At 40.8% G+C, this 16,789-nt stretch overlaps 1 protein-coding gene across 15 annotated transcripts in view; it reads left to right on the plus strand.

The window, feature by feature from the left end:
• Nucleotides 1-16,789, plus strand: part of CENPI (centromere protein I) — an 83,656-nt gene that overhangs the window by 53,855 nt on the left and 13,012 nt on the right. For 8 of the 15 annotated variants that reach the window (XM_047441951.1, XM_047441950.1, XM_047441948.1 and 5 more), the window contains 2 exons: nt 9,470-9,511; nt 10,775-14,068. The exons of 1 other annotated variant lie outside the window; for it this stretch is intronic. In XM_047441951.1, the coding sequence (XP_047297907.1) occupies nt 9,470-9,511; nt 10,775-10,909 (177 nt within the window). In that variant the 3' untranslated portion in view covers nt 10,910-14,068. Of the gene's footprint in view, nt 1-9,469; nt 9,512-10,774; nt 14,069-16,789 lie in introns of those variants that run through there. 6 more of the 15 variants (XM_047441955.1, XM_047441954.1, XM_047441952.1 and 3 more) reach the window with 3 other exon arrangements.

The raw sequence follows: 16,789 nt of genomic DNA on the forward strand, positions 1-16,789 counted from the left end.
TATTCTAGAAGTTTCTTTTTTTTTGAGATGGAGTCTCGCTCTGTTGTCTAGGCTGGAGTGCAATGGCGCGATCTTGGCTCACTGCAACCTCCGCCTCCCGGGTTCAAGCTATTCTCCTGCCTCAGCCCCCGATAGCTGGGATTACAGGCACGTGCCACCATGCCTGGCTAATTTTTTTGTATTTTTAGTAGAGACGGGGTTTCACCATGTTGGTCAGGCTGGTCTCGAACTCCTGACCTCGTGATCCACCAGCCTCATCCTCCCAAAGTGCTGGGATTACAGGCGTGACCCACCCGGCCTGGCCTCTAGAAGTTTCAAATCAATGAAATCACACAATATGTGGTCTTCTGTGACTGGCTTCTTTCTTTTTCTTTTTTTGAGACAGTCTTGCTCTGTCGCCTGGGCTGGAGTGCAGTGGTGCCATCCCGGCTTACTGCAACCTCTGCCTCCTGGGTTCAAGCGATTCTCCTGCCTCAGCCTCCTGAGGCATGTGTCACCATGCCCCGCTAATTTTTTGTATTTTTAGTAGAGACAGGGTTTCACCATGTTGGCCAGGCTGGTTGGTCTCTAACTCCTGACCTCAGGTAATCTGCTTGGCCTCCCATAGTGCTGGGATTACAGGCATGAGCCACAGTGCCCGGACTGGCTTCTTTCACTTAGCATAATGTTTTCAACATTCAGCTATCTTATGGCATGTATCAGTACTTTATTTGTTTTTACTGATAAATAATATTCCTATATATATATATGACACATTTTATTCATTTATCAATTGATGGACATTTTTGTTATTTTCACTTTTTGGTGATTATGAATAAGTATTCTTATAAAAGGTTTTGTGTGGACATATGTTTTCATTTCTCTTGGGTATATATACCTTTGGTATATATACTTAAGAGTGGGAATACTAGATCATATGGTAACTCTATGTTTAACCACTGGAAGAACTTCCAGACTGTTTTCCAAAGTAGCAGCACCATTTCACATTCCCATCAGCAGTATGTGAGGGTTCCATTTTCTCCACCTCTTTCCTAACACTTTTTATCTGTTTTTTTGGTTCTAGCCATCCTGGAAGTGTGAAATGGTATTTCATTGTGGTATTGATTTGCATTTCCATGGTAGCTATTGATGTTTAGCATCTTTTCATGTGCTTATTGAACATTTATATATTTTCTTTGGAGAAATGTCTATCAGACTCTGCTCATTTTAAATTTTTTAAAAAGTTTTTATATTTCTTGTTCTTTTTTTTTTTTTGAGACGGTCGTTCTGTAGCTCAGGATGGAGGGCAGTGGCCAGTGGCACAATCACAACTTACTGAAGCCTTGAACTCCAGAGCTCAATTGATTCTCCCACTTCAGCCTCCTGAGTAGCTGGGACTACAAGCGCACGCCACCACTCCTGACCGTTTTTTGTAGACAGGGTTTCACCAAATTGCCCAGGCTGGTCTGGAGCTCCTGGGCTCAAATGGTCCATCCAGGTTGGCCTCCCAGAGTGCTGGGGTTACAGGTGTGAGCCACCATGCCTGGCCCTTTGCTCATTTTTTAATGAGTTTATTTGTGATTTTATTATCAAGTTATAATGGTTCTTTTTATATTCTAGATACAAATCCTTTATCAAATATGTAATTTGCAAAAGTTTTCTCCAATTTTGTGGGTTGTCTTCACTTTTTTGTTAATGTCTTTTGATTTACAAAGGTTTTTAATTTTGATGAAATGAAATTTCACTTTTTTTTCCTATTGCTTATGCTTTTGTTGTCAGAGCTTAAGAAATCACTGCCTAACCCAAGGTTACAAAGATTTACTCCTCTGTTTTGTCTGAGAATTTTATAGTTTTAACTCTTATATTTGGGTTTTTTAAATCAATTTTATCTCTTGTATATGTTGTGATTTAAGTATACAACTTCATTTTTGTGTGTGTGAGTACACAAATGTACCCACACCATTTGTTGAAAAGGCTACTCTTTCCCATTAAAATGTCTTGGCACCCTTGTCTAAAATCAATGGACCATAGATGTATGGACTCTTAATTCTATTTTATGGATCTATATGTCTATCCTCATGCCAGTAAATGCTGTCTTGATCCGTATAGCTTTGTAGTAAGCTTTGAAATCAGAAAATGTGAGTTCCCCAACTTGTTCTTCTTTTTCAAGATTGTTTTGGCTATTGTTGGTTCTTTGAAATTCCATATGAATTTTAGGACCAGCTTATTAATTTCTATAAAGAATCCAGGCCGGGCATGGTGGCTCACACCTGTAATCCTAGCACTTTGAGAGGCTGAGATGGGTGGATCACCTGAGGTCAAGAGTTCAGGACCAGTCTGGCCAACATGGTGAAATGTTGGGCATTTCTCTACTAAAAATACAAAAGTTAGCCAGGCGTGGTGGCATGCACCTGTAATCCCAGCTACCAGCTACTCGAGAGGCTGAGGCAGGAGAATCGCTTGAACCTGGGGGGCGGAGGTTGCGGTGAGCTGAGGTCGTGCCACTTCACTCCAGCCTGGGCGAAAGAGCAAAACTCTGTCTAAAAAAACAAAACAAAACAAAAAACGGATCCAGCTGCGATTCTGATAGATAATGGCTTGTAATCTGTAGAAATTTGGGTAGTATTGCCATCTTAATAATATTAAGTCTTCCAATGCATGAACATCATATGTCATTCCATTTATGTAGGTCTTCAGTTTTTTCAACAATGTTTTGCAGTTTTCAGATCATAAATTTTATACTTCTTTGGCTAAATTTATTCCTAAGTACTGTGTTTTTTGATGTTATCGTAAATGGAATATTTTTCTTAATTTCAGTTTTGGATTGCTTATTGCTATTATATAGAAATGCAATTGATCTGCACCCGTATATTGATCTTATATCTCATAATGTTGAACTCATTTATTAGTTTTTATAGCTTTTTGGTATATTCCTTAGGATTTTCCATATACAAGATTATGTCTTCTGCAAATAGAGAAGTTTTGTTTTTTCCTTTTAAATTTGAATGCCTTTTCTTTGTCTTGCTAATTGTACTGCCTAGAACCTCAGGTACTATGTCAAAAAAAAATGGCAAGAATGGCCACTTAATCGTAGGGAGAAACATTTCACTTTGTCGTTTGTCAGGTTGGGGAACTGCCCTTCTATTTCCAGTTTGTTGAGTGGTGTTTTTTGATGGAATCTTGCTCTTCTTGCCCAGGCTGGAGTGCAGTAGTGCAGTCTTGGCTCACTGCAACCTCCACCTCCCGGTTTCAAGCAATTCTCTTGCCTCAGCCTCCCAAGTAGCTGGGATTATGGGTACCCGCCACCACGCCCGGCTAATTTTTGTATTTTTAGTAGAGATGGGGTTTTACCATGTTGGCCAGGCTGGTCTCAAACTCCTGACCTCAGGTGATCCGCCCACCTCGGCCTCCCAAAGTGCTGGGATTACAGATGTGAGCCACCACACCTGGCCGAATGTTTTCTATTATGAATGGGTGTTAGATGTTGTGAAACCATTTTTCTGCATCTATAAACATGGTTTTGTGGTTTTTGTCCTCTATTCTGCTGATATGGTATATTCCATTAATTGAGGTTCATATGTTTAACCAACCTTGCATTCTTAGAATAAATCCTGTTTGGTGATGGATAAAAATTCCCTTTTACACATTACTGGGTACTTTTTTTGTTTTGTAACCCTCTATAGCACACAGGCTTACTAAATTCAGGAAAGGCAACCAAAAACTCTTTTTACAAGTCTTATAGATTCTTGGAAACAAACAGATTTGACTATTGAAGAAAAATGTTAAAGCATATAAGTGACCAGTTTAGTTTGGAAAATAGCTCAGGCTAGATTGTCATGTAAGACTTTTATGATGTAATGTTGAACTTCATGAAGACAAGTGAGTCAAGTGCAGTCATAAATATTTGCAATGATAATAATTATTATGATGATGCTAATGTTTTGCCTTGCCTTTGTTTAATAACTTATCCTCTTTTTTTTTTCTTTTTTTTTGAGACAGAGTTTCACTCTCGTCACCCAGGCTGGAGTGCAATGGCATGATCTTGGCTCACTGCAACCTCTGCCTCCTGGGTTCAAGTAATTCTCCTGTTTCAGCCTCCTGAGTAGCTGGGATTACAGGCACCCGCCACCACACCCAGCTAATTTTTGTGTTTTTAGTAGAGATGGGTTTCACCATGTTGGTTAGGCTGGTCTTGAACTCCTGACCTCAGGTGATCCTCCCTCTGGCCTCCCTAAGTGCTGGGATTACAGGTGTGAGCCACTGCTCCCGCCTTATCCTCTTTCTTTAAGTACCACAATATACATTGACTCTTTGATTATCAAAGCAGTCCTGTGAGGTTGTAAGGTTAGGCACCATTATTCCCATCTGGAAGGTGAAAGGAATAGCCTCAGGAAGATTGATTTATTGCTAAAAGGGAAAAATAATTAACAATTATTTATTTATTTGTTTATTTATTTATTATTTTCAATGTTTTATTTCCATAGGTTTTTGGGGAACAGGTGCTATTTGGTTACATGAGTAAGTTCTTTGGTGGTGATTTGTGAGATTTTGGTGCACCCATCACCCGAGCAGTATACACTGTACCCAATTTGTAGTCTTTTATCCCTCACCCCCTTCCCACCCTTTCCCCGAGTCCCCAGAGTCCATTGTGTCATTCTTATGCCCTTGCATCCTCACAGCTTAGCTCCCACTTATGAGTGAGAATATACGATGTTTTTTTTTTCATTCCTGAGTTACTTCACTTAGAATAATAGTCTCCAGTCCCACCTAGATTGCTGCAAATGCCATTAATTCATTCATTTTTATGGCTGAGTAGTATTTCATCGTATATATATATGCCACAGTTTATTTACCCACTCATTGATTGATGGGTGTTTGGGTTAGTTCCATATTTTTGCAGTTGCGAATTCTGCTGCTATAAACATGCATGCACAAGTGCCTTTTTTTGTATAATGACTTCTTTTCCTCTGGGTAGATATCCAGTAGTGGGATTGCTGGATCAAATGGTGGTTCTACTTTTAGTTCTTTAAGGAATCTCCACACTGTTTTCCATAGTAGTTGTACTATTTTACATTCCCATCAGCAGTGTAGAAGGGTTCCCTTTTCACCGCATCCACGCCAACATCTATTTTTTAACTTTTTTTATTATGGCCAGGAATTAACAATTATTGAAGACTTATGACTCACCAGACTTGGACTATAATGTACATATATGTGTTAGGCCTCTAAACTAGTTATCACTATCCCTGTTTTACAGGAGAAGAAGCTTAACTCAAAGAGGTGGAGTAAATTGACCCTAGATCAGTAACAAGCAAGAGAGGACACTGGGGCTGGGCACTGTGATGCATGCCTGTAATCCCAGCACTTTGGGAGGCCAAGGTGGGAGGATTGCGTGAGCCCAGGAGTTTGAGACCAGCCTTGGCAATATAGTGTGATGCTGTCTTTACATAAAATTTTAAAAACTTAGCTGGGTTTGGTGGCATGCACCTGTGCTCTCAGTTACTTGGGAAGTTGAGGTGGGAGGATTACATGAGCCTAGGAAGTCAAGGTTGCTGTGAGCTGTGATTGCTCCATTGAACTCTAGCCTGGGTGACAGAGTGAGACCTTGTCTCAAAAAAAAAAAAAAAAAAAAGGACTTTTTTTTGGTTGTTTCATTTTTTTAATATGGGGTATTCGCATGATATTTTGATACAGCATACAATATATAATGATCAAGTTAGAGTAAATGGGATATCTATCAACTCAAACACTTACCATTTTTTCATGTTAAGAACATCCCCAATCTCTTCTAGCCACTTTGAAATATACAATAAATTATTACTTATAGTCACACTACTGTGATATTAAACACTAGAACTTATTCCGTCTATCTGACTGTATTTTGGACCCATTAACCAACCTCTCTTCATACCTGTCCCCCACCCGCTTCTCCCAGCCTCCAATGACCATCATTCTACTCTCTACCTCCATGAGAACCACTTTTTTAGCTCGCACATATGCATGAGAACATGCAATGTTTGTCTTTCTGTGCTTGGCTTATTTCATTTACCATAATGTACTCCACTTCCATCCATCTAGCCACAAATGACAGAATTTCATTATTTTGTATGGTTGAATAATATCCCATTGTGTATATCTACCACATTTTCTTTATCCATTCATCTGTTGATGGATACGTTATTGTTAGTTTAACAAGAATAGCATTGAATCTGTAAATTGCTTTGGGCAGTATGGCTTTTTTTTTTTTTTTTTTTTTTGAGACAGAGTTTTGCTCTTGTTGCCCAGGCTGGAGTGCAATGGCGCAATCTCCGCTCACCACAACCTCCGCCTCCTGGGTTCAAGCGATTCTCCTGTTTCAGCCTCCCGAATATCTGGGATTACAGGCACGTACCACCACGCCTGGCTAATTTTTGTATTTTTAGTAGAGACGGAGTTTCACCATGTTGACCAGGCTGGTTTGAACTCCTGACCACAGGTGACCCACCTGCCTCAACCTCCCAAAGTGCTGGGATTACAGGCATGAGCTACTGCGCCTGGCTGGAATGATTTTTAAGTAGGGTTGTAAAGTGGTCTGAGTTGATGTGATAGAGATCACTTTTTTTTTTTTTTTTGAGACAGTGTCTCGCTCTGGCACCCATGCTGGAGTGCAGTGGCATGATGTCAGCTCACTGCAACCTCCGCCTTCCAGGTTCAAGTGATTCTCATGCCTTCACCTCTCAAATAGCTGGGATTACAGGCTTGCGCCACCAAGCCCATCTAATATTTGTATTTTTAGTAGGGACGGGGTTTCGCCATGTTGGTCAGGCGGGTCTTGAACTCCTGACCTCAAGCGATCCACCCGCCTCGGCCTCCCAAAGTGCTGGGATTATAGGCATGAGCCACCATGCCTGGCCAATAGAGATCACTTTGGCTTCTTTATGGAGTATGGGGTTATAAGAAGAGGCTCGAGTGGAAACAGGAACACCAATTAGGTGGCTACTGCTGAAGTCTAGACAAGAGATATTGACAGTGATTTGTATGAAAGGGGTAGTAATGGAAATTGACAGAAATGGACTGCTTTGAGATATATTGCAGTGGTAGAACAGATGGAACTTGATGATAGTTTGATTGGAAGTGGGAATGAGAAAATGACCCTTTTTTTTGAGACAGAGTCTCGCTCTGTCGCCCAGGCTGGAGTGCAGTGGTGCGATCTTGGCTCACTGCAAGCTCCGCCTCCCAGGTTCACGCCATTCTCCTGCCTCAGCCTCCCGAGTAGCTGGGACTACAGGCACCCGCCACCACGCCTGGCTAATTTTTTGTATTTTTTAGTAGAGAGGGGGTTTCACCGTGTTAGCCAGGACGGTCTTGATCTCCTGACCTCGTGATCAGCCCACCTCAGCCTCCCAAAGTGCTGGGATTACAGGTGTGAGCCACCGCGCCTGGCCTTTTTTTTCTTTGTGAGACGGAGTTTTGCTCTTGTTGCCCAGGCTGAAGTGCCATGGCATGATCTTGGCTCTCTGAAACCTCCGCCTCCCGAGTTCAAGTGATTCTCCTGCCTCAGCCTCCCAAGTAGCTGGAATTATGTGCATCTGCCACCGTGCCCAGCTAATTTTTTTTGTATTTTTAGTAGAGACGGGGTTTCACCATGTTGACCAGGCTGGTCTCGAACTCCTGACCTCAGGTGATCCACCCGCCTCGGCCTCCCAAAATGTTGGGATTACAGGCATGAGCCACCGCACCTGGCTGACTCTTTGGTTTTTTGACTTGAGCAGTTGGGTTGATGGTGGTTCCATTTATTATTAAGAGGAATACTGATGAGAGAATAGGAGAGGTTATTTTGTTTTGTGAGGAGGACAATTTGAGAATCAAGTTCTGTTTGACCTGCGTAAATTTGAGATGCTTGTTAGATATCCAAGAAAAAAATGTAAGTAGTCAGTTGGGGCTTGGTGTTCAGAAGAGATGTTCAAGCTAGAGAAATAAATAGAATATGGAATTCATCAGTGAGTAGTATATTCATCAATTTCAAAAACTTTTTGTTCACTTTCCTGCTTCTAAGAGATCAGATACATCGTTGTGATCATTGTCAGTCAGGTAGGAGTCATGGCATATTTGTCATTTGCTATTGGAGTGTGCACAGGCAGACTGCCAGAATCAGACTTTGCAGGATGGATGTCAGCAGCTTGGGGAAAAAATCTGGAGACAATATTGGAGCATTGTTGTAATCCTCAAAAACCCAATGATTTGGAGGGAGGGAGGGCAGAAGCAGTGATTCATACTTGTTAATGGACTTTCCTGAAGCAGGAGCCAAAAGTAGTTAGCTTTACATAATTGAGACCCCAGCACCCTTAGCTTTTAGTTCTTTTTTTTTTTTTTTTTTTTTCTTTGATGGAGTCTTGCTCTGTTGCCCAGGCTGGAGTGCAGTGGCACTATCTCGGCTCACTGCAACCTCTGCCTCCCAGGTTCAAGCATTTCTCCTGCCTCAGCCTCCCAAGTAGCTGGGATTACAGGTGCACGCCACCATGCCTGGCTAATTTTTGTATTTTTTTTTGTTTTAGTAGAGACGGGGCTTCACCACATTGGCCAGGCTGGTCTCGAACTTTTGACCTTATAATCCACCTGCCTCAGCCTCCCAAAGTGCTGGGATTACAGATGTGAGCCACCATGCCCAGCCTAGCTTTTAGTTCCTTTAAGAAATGCATTGTGTATTTCCAATAGCCAAGAGAGGACTTAGAATGTTCCCACAGCAAAGAAATAATGTTTACAGTGATAGATATGCTAATTACCATGATTTGATCATTAAACAAAGTATACACATATTGAAACATTGCACTGTACCACATAGATATGTACAATTATTATGTGTCAGTGAAAAGAAAAAAGAAATGGTACATAACCAACATTCTATGGCACAGAGGATGATGTGTGAAAAAATACAGACATCCCACAACTCAGAGGAGTTGTACTCTGAATAGAGGGGTTTACTCTGAATATGAAGTTTTAGAAGTACTTTCACCAGTTTATTTTGTTTATATTTACTATCTTATGTTTATAAAAATGATATATGATAAAAACCTGCCTACATCTGAAACAACTATTTTAATCATTATAACAATTCTGTTAAAAAGGCATTGTGTTATACATAGTTTATTTATTTAAATAGAGACAAGGTCTCATGTTGACCAGGCTGATCTTGAACTCCTGGTCTCAAGAGATCTGCCCGCCTTGTCCTCCCAAAGTGTTGAGATTACAGGCATGAGCCACTGCACCCGGCCTGTTTTACATAGTTTAAGAGTTTTCACTTAGCAATAATTTTTAAAATGTTATTTCTTAAAGCTGATGGATATTTGAAAGGAATCCAAGAGTGATGGTAGGAATAGAACTTTGCAAATGAGCAAGTGAATTGCCATCTTAATTTTCTGATGATTTGTACTAACCAAGTATTTCTATCACCATATCTCCCCACTTCTTTTTTGTTTTGCTTTGTTTTGTTTTTTGTTTGTTTGTTTTTAAGGAAAGCCCAGAAGAAAGGACAGTAAATGTGAGCTCTATTCGGGTAAATAAATTTACTTTCATCGTGTTGAGGGATTTCATACAGCTTAATTTCATCAAGAGAATTTATACTTTTCCTTTTTTCCAAACCTTAAGCCTGCTGCCTCCACAAAGTCAAAATGAAGTGTTTGCCTTCCAAATTCATTCCAGTGACTTTAATGTGAATTTATTGGCACTTATTCTTTCTAGTCTTATCTAGGATATAACTTTTGATAGTTACAGTTGCATGTATATAAAGTATGATTGTAATGAAATAAAGTATGATTTGTTACTGGCGTAACAAAGCCATACATAGGCTGGGCATTGTGGCTCATGCCTGCAATCCCAGCACTTGGAGTGGTTGAGGCAGGAGGATCTCTTGAGGCCTGGATTTTATTTTATTTTATTTTTTTTGAGAAGGAGTCTTGCTCTGTCCCCCAGGCTGGAGTGCGGTGGTGTAATCTCGGCTCACTGCAACCTCTGCCTCCCGGGTTCAAGTGATTCTCCTGCCTCAGCCTCCTGAGAAGCTGGGATTGCATGTGTGTACCACCACGCCTGGCTAATTTTTGATTTTTTAGTAGAGAAGATGTTTTTCCCTGTTGGCCAGCTGGTCTCGAACTCCTGACCTCAAGTGATCTGCCCGCCTTGGCCTCCCAAAGTGCTGGGATTACAGATGTGAGCCCCCGCACCCGGAGGCCTGGAATTTGAGACCAGCCTGGGCAACATAGCAAGACCATGCCTGTACTAAAATTTTAAAAAATTAGCCAGGCATAGTGGCACGTGCCTGTGGTCCCAGCTACTTGGGAGGCTGAGGCAGGAGGATTGCTTGAGGCTGGGAAGTCGAGGCTACAATGAGCTGTGATCACTGCTGCATTCCAGCTTGGGCAACAAACAGAGCAAAACCGTATCTCAAAAAAAAAAAAAAAAAAATATATATATATATATATAATTATCTCATTATCAAAAACTGCTATTTACACATTTAATATAGGCAGTAATATAATAATATCTGCTCCTATGTTATCTCCTAGAGTGTGAGAATGATGACACATTTCCATTGCACAGTACTTAAATTTTTTTGCCAACATAATAAAATGGACGTTTAGCCCTTGGAATTGGGTACTTTCTGGTTTAAATGTTACTTAGTGACTGAGCTCATTTCCCCCCCGAACTAATTTTGATATGTGCATGCGGGATGCTGCAAACTCTTCCTAGGGAAAGAGGAGGAAATAGAGAAAAAGCATAGTAAAATATTCGATAAGTAATTTTCCTTTTTCTGTGCCTGCAGGGAAAGAAATGGAGCTGGTATTTGGACTATTTATTTTCACAGGGGTTACAAGGCTTGAAACTTTTTATAAGAAGTAGTGTTCATCATTCTTCCATTCCCAGAGCAGAGGGCATAAACTGCAACAATCAATATTAAATGAATGTTGACATAAACTGAACACACTGGACTAAACTCACTCCTCATTGCTAGAGCAAAGTGGCTCATCTTGAGTTCCCATTTTCATTTCACTGACAGACTGCCATCCTCAAGGAGTACTCAGACTGGCCTTCTGTTCATGGCTTAGGAGAGCCTTGGTGTGCCTAACTGATTTTTCAAAATTTAGATTTTTTTAGCCTACCAGTGAAAAATGACCCCTTCATCATCAGGCTCTGCGTTCTACCAAATTGTATGTAAAAAGACACATCTGTTTTGTGGTAGGATTTTTTCACATTTTTGGGTACTATGAGCTGCATTGATGGAAGACAGCAGGCAATATGTGGTGACAGTTAACTCACAGACATAAACATGCAAAATACTTTGCTGTCTCTGGGGATATTGCCATTTTTCTTACTGTGAGCAACAGCACCAACACCAAGTTAACAGGATGCAACATGTGTATGACTCTAAAAGCCCTAAGTAGTTGGTAACTTCCTGGGCCTTCAATCATAGCAATTTGATGAGGGAAGGAAGGGGAGAGGATTTGTTGGGTAATCAAGACATTCCCGTATATGTCTGATTTCATGGAACTGCTCTATTTTGTTTGTGTGTATTGTATATGTATATGTGTATGTGTGCGTGTATGTGTGTGTCTGTAGCTTCAGTTTTTAAGTGTAAGGACTAAATAAACTAACTGAAATTTTACTTTCAGAAGGAATTCTGAAGTTTTAAAAAAGTTAATAATAGCTAGAATATCTTGCTGAAAATGTACTATAAAATTTTGCCTGCTGGGCGTGGTGGCTCACGCCTGTAATCCCAGCACTTTGGGAGGCCAAGGTGGGTGGATCATGAGGTCAGGAGTTCGAGATGAGGCTGGCCAATATGGTAAAACCCTGTCTCTACTAAAAATACAAAAAATTGGCCGGGCATGCCGGCACGTGCCTGTAGTCCCAGCTACTCAGGAGGCTGGGGCAGGAGAATCGCTTGAACCCGGGAGGCGGAGGTTGCAGTGAGCCAAGATCGCGCCACTGCACTCCAGCGAGACTCTGTCTCAAAAAAAAAAAAAAAAATTACCTCAATGCTATTGAATAATTCTCCCTTCTAGTAAAATTCGTATCATTTGAGAAGAATCAAGCTGAATTAATTTTTGTCTTTAAGGATGCATACTTGGGGTTCTTTTTTTTCCCCATTTAAAAAACAAACCCTAAACTATATTATTGGATGGCGTTCAGACTAGAAATCCCACTCGTCCATTGACTCATTAATTGATTCAATAAATATTTATTGAGCTCCTTTCTCTGTGCCAGGTACTCTTCTGTGTGCTGGTTATACAGTTGTGACCAATACAAAGTACCCGGGTTTTTGTTTTTGTTTTTGTTTTTTGAGATGGAGTCTCACTCTGTTGCCCAGGCTGGAGTGCAGAGGCATGATCTTGGCTCACTGCAACCTCTACTTTCTGGTTCAAGCAATTCTCCTGCCTCAGCCTCACGAATAGCTGGGATTACAGGCACCTACCACCACGCCCAGCCAATTTTTGTATTTTTAGTAGAGACAGGGTTCCGTCATGTTGACCAGGCTGGACTTGAACTCTTGATCTCAAGTGATCAACCCGCCTTGGCCTCCCAAAGTGTTGGGATTAGAGGTGTGAGCCATTGCACCCAGCCCAAAGTACCTGTTTTTATGGAGTTTACATTCCAATGGAGAAGACAGACAATAACATATATCAAATGCTATAAAGAAAGGGCAGGGAATAGGGATACAATGTGTTGAATTTTGTCAAATGCTTTTTTTGTATCTTTTGAGATTATCATATGGCTTTTGTCCTTCATTCTGTTAACATGATATATCACATTTACTGATTTGTGTATACTGAATCATCTTTGCATCCCGGGATGAATCCCACTGGGACAGAATGTGGAGAGGGTTGAAACTTTAGATAAGATGGTTTGGGAAAGCCTGTTTGAAGAGATGACATATGCAGAGGCCCCAGTGAAGTAAGCATATGAGTCATATAAATATTTGGGGAAAGAGCATTCTGGACAAAGGTAAAAAACAAGTGAAAAGGCCCTAAAATGTTAACTTACTTGGCATGTTTGAGGAATAACAAAGAGGCCAGTAAGGTTACAGCATAGTGATTAAGAGAGAAGAATGGTAAGAAGTGACATAAGGAAGAAAGCCAGGTCCTTATAGCCTGGCATGGATATGTAAATGGGAAGCAATTAGATTGAGAAGAGGAGTGACATAATTTGATTTACCTTTATGAAATATGGAGCTACAATGTCAAGGTTAGACTGAAGAAGATTAAAGAGGAAAGCAGAGACTGGTTAGGTTATTATAGTGTCCTAGGTAACAGTTTTGGACAAGTGTGATAAATGTTGAGGTGGGAGGGGTTAGAGGTTGGATTCAGACTCTGTTTTGTAAGTAGAGAAGATAATGTCTGCTGATAGCTTGGATATGAGGAGGAAAAGGAGAGGAGTAAAGGATGACTCAGATTTTTGACCTGTCAATTGGGTGAACTCTGAGATTAAATTCTGTTTTGGCTATGTTAGGTTGGAAATGCTGTGTAGGCAATTGGATATCCAAGTCTGGACTTCAGAGTACAATTTGGGACTAGAAAATTAATTTGGGAGTCATTAGGGAATAACCATGACTTTGGATGAGATCACCTAGTACAGCTAGAGAAGAGAAGGTAGCAAAAGACAGAGACCTAAGGTATGCCAGCATTGAGAAGTAGAGGAGAAGAGGAACCAGCAAAAGACTGAGAAGGACCCACCAGTGACCTAGAAGAAAAATCAGGAGGCTGGTATTCTGGAAGCCATCAGAAGAAAATGTTTCACAAAAGGAAGGTAGTATTGAATGGTGTGAAATGTTACCTATATACCTGGAAAAAAGCAACTTCAGCTGCTTTTTAAGTAAATGTGATAGTTTGTACTGCAAATAACTTTCCATATTGCTTTTCAGATCATGATATTTTGGTCCTTAAGATCATGTAGAACTTTCCATTGTGAGAAGGGAGTTGATTATTTTATCATTAAAGAAACTTTTCTAAACTTAAATTTATGAAAAATAATTTTTCCCTTAGGTTTGTCTTTTTGTTCAATAATGATTCCCTGGGTATCTTTTTTTGCCCCACAAATAAAATACTTAGACATACCTGGATACCTTTTTTTGTGCCTATTTCTCTTTTAACTTTTTTTTTTTCTTCTTGAGACGGAGTCTCACTCTGTCACCAGGGTGGAGTGCAGCGGCCTGATCTCAGCTCACTGCAACCTCTGCCTCCCGGATTCAAGCGATTCTCCTGCCTCAGCCTCCCGAGTAGCTGGGACTACAGGCACATGCCACCATGCCCAGCTAATTTTTGTATTTTTGGTAGAGATGGGGTTTCATCATGTTGGCCAGGATGGTCTTGATCTCTTGACCTCGGGATCCACCCGTCTCGGCCTCCCGAAGTGTTGGGATTACAGGCATGAGCCACCGTGCCCAGCCCTCTTTTAATTTTTTAACTCACTTAAGATTATATGGCAGTGCAAATAAGCCAAATGTAGTTATCTGAAAACATATTTTTTGAAGATTCTTCATGGCAAAAACCATAATAGTTAAATAAAGAATAGCTATTTTGCTTTGGTGCAAAACATGTCTAGAAGATAAAAGAAATGGAAAATTTGGTTTATTATTGCAGTTGTAAAAAAGTATTTTCTTTACCCAGTGTTTGTGTAGAATTGGTGGCATTATTAATATTGACTTAATGTTCAATACTAAAGAATACTAAAGTTGCTATTAGAGTTCTAACATATTTTTCCTTTTGTTTTTTGAGACGGAGTCTTACTCTGTTGCCAGGCTGGAGTGCAGTGGCGTGATCTTGGCTCACTGCAACCTCTGACTCCCTGGTTCAAGCGATTCTCCTGCCTCAGCCTCCCAAGTAGCTGGGATTACAGGCACATGCCACCACACCCAGCTAATTTTTGTGTTTTTAGTAGAGACGGGATTCCACCATGTTGGCCAGGATGGTCTCAATCTCATGACCTTGTGATCTGCCTTGGCCTCCCAAAGTGCTGGGATTACAGGCGTAAGCCACAGCACCCGGCCCATTTTTTTCCTTTTTATTATACTTTCTCCTTCTTTTTGATCTTGGGGTTGATCTGGAAAGAAAAGTAAGGCTATGGTGTCACACATAACTTTTATTAACATAGTAGAATTGTTTACTAGAAAAGTGATTCTCTGTAATTCTTACTGAGATAATTTGCATTTGGGAATCTTCATGGGTGAACAGATTGCTTGAGCCTTTTTGGACAAAATGCAAAAAGTATGAATGAATGAGCACGTATTTAATAGACTGACATCCTGGGCATTTATGAGTACTCCAGCCTTGGATACAATGACACCTACGAAACTGAACAAGACTGATTTTTTTGCGTTGTACGTTGCCCTTGCATCCATTTGTATGCAACTTACTGTTACCTCGGGTAATAAGGGAGAACATAGTATATAATTTTTAAAAATTAACCTTTAATTCCAGCTTTTAAAAATTAGAAATGAATCATTTTTGCATTTATAATCAGCTTCATGGACTAGGTTAAATTCCCAAACTTGATTACCACTTTCTGCGTAATCAATTGAAAATTGGAATGTGGGGGACCTCTGGGTGGCACTGTGAAGAGTTCAGTGGAACTTCTTCCCAGAGAAATACCTGTTTCATTGCTTAAAATTAGCAAAAGCAATCATTCAAAGTCTCTGGAGAGTGATCAGAAGATTCACAAAATTGAAACTCAATTTATTCAAAATTTACAGAACTCAATAATAGTGGAGGTCATAACATCTGAACTAGAGGCTGCACTTATTTTCCCACCCAACTTCATGTTGCAGAAGAGCTATTGTTATGGAAGAAGTATTCCAATGGGTGTGGTCCAAAGTAGAACTCCCATCTCTTCCAAATACTGCTCCATAATACAGAGGCTCTGCCAAGGGAGGGGGTCAGGGCAAGCCTTAAAGACTGGCAAGACCCTGGCCCTTCCTGAGAGGCCTGACTTTATGTGGAGACTAACAGCATGGTATAATACCTATAGAGGAAGACCAGCCAGAAGTTTAAAAGGGAGATCAGAGAAAGAGCAAAGGAGGCCTTGCTAAAATCACGGTCATACTTGGTGATATGGAAAAGTGTACACATACGTAAATCTGCATTCTCTCAGAAGCAACTGAAGAAGGAATTGCTTTGCTATTAGTTCCTGACTAAATGTGAGACAAACTTATAAACTCCCTGAAGTGTGAAAGCAGTCTCCAAGCTACAGAGCAAACAGTAATGAATGGAAACCTTATTGGGGCCAGGCATGGTGGCTCACGCCTGTAATCCCAGCATTTTGGGAGGCTGAGGCGGGTGGATCACTTGAGGCCAGGAGTTCAAGACCACCCTGGCCAACATGGCGAAACCCTGTCTCTACTAAAAATGCAAAAATTAGCTGAGCATGGTGGCGTGTGCCTGTAATCCCAGCTACTAGGGAGACTGAGGCAGGAGAATTGCTTGAACCCGGGAGGTGGAGGTTGCAGTGAGCCGAGATCGCCCACTGCACTCCAGCCTGGGCAACAGAGCAAGACTCTGAAAAACAAAACAAAACAAAACAAAACAAAAAATCTTACTGGCTCAAGGGGCTTAAGCACAACTTCTGATCTATCAGTAGCTGACTGCTAACCTGTACTGACGTAAGGATGACCCTTAGGAAGCCAGATTTAAAGATAAAAACAAACTAACAAAAAATCTAAATGGGGTCATTAGAGGCTATACAGTGGGGGAATGGACTTCACAGGATTAGTCTAGCCACATCACCAAATAAGTGAACAAACAACAGCGACAAATCCTGGAGTAGAGAGTATCGTTATCCAGAGCTG

This window comes from Homo sapiens, chromosome X, assembly GCF_000001405.40.
Source record: "Homo sapiens chromosome X, GRCh38.p14 Primary Assembly".
NCBI lineage: Eukaryota > Metazoa > Chordata > Mammalia > Primates > Hominidae > Homo > Homo sapiens.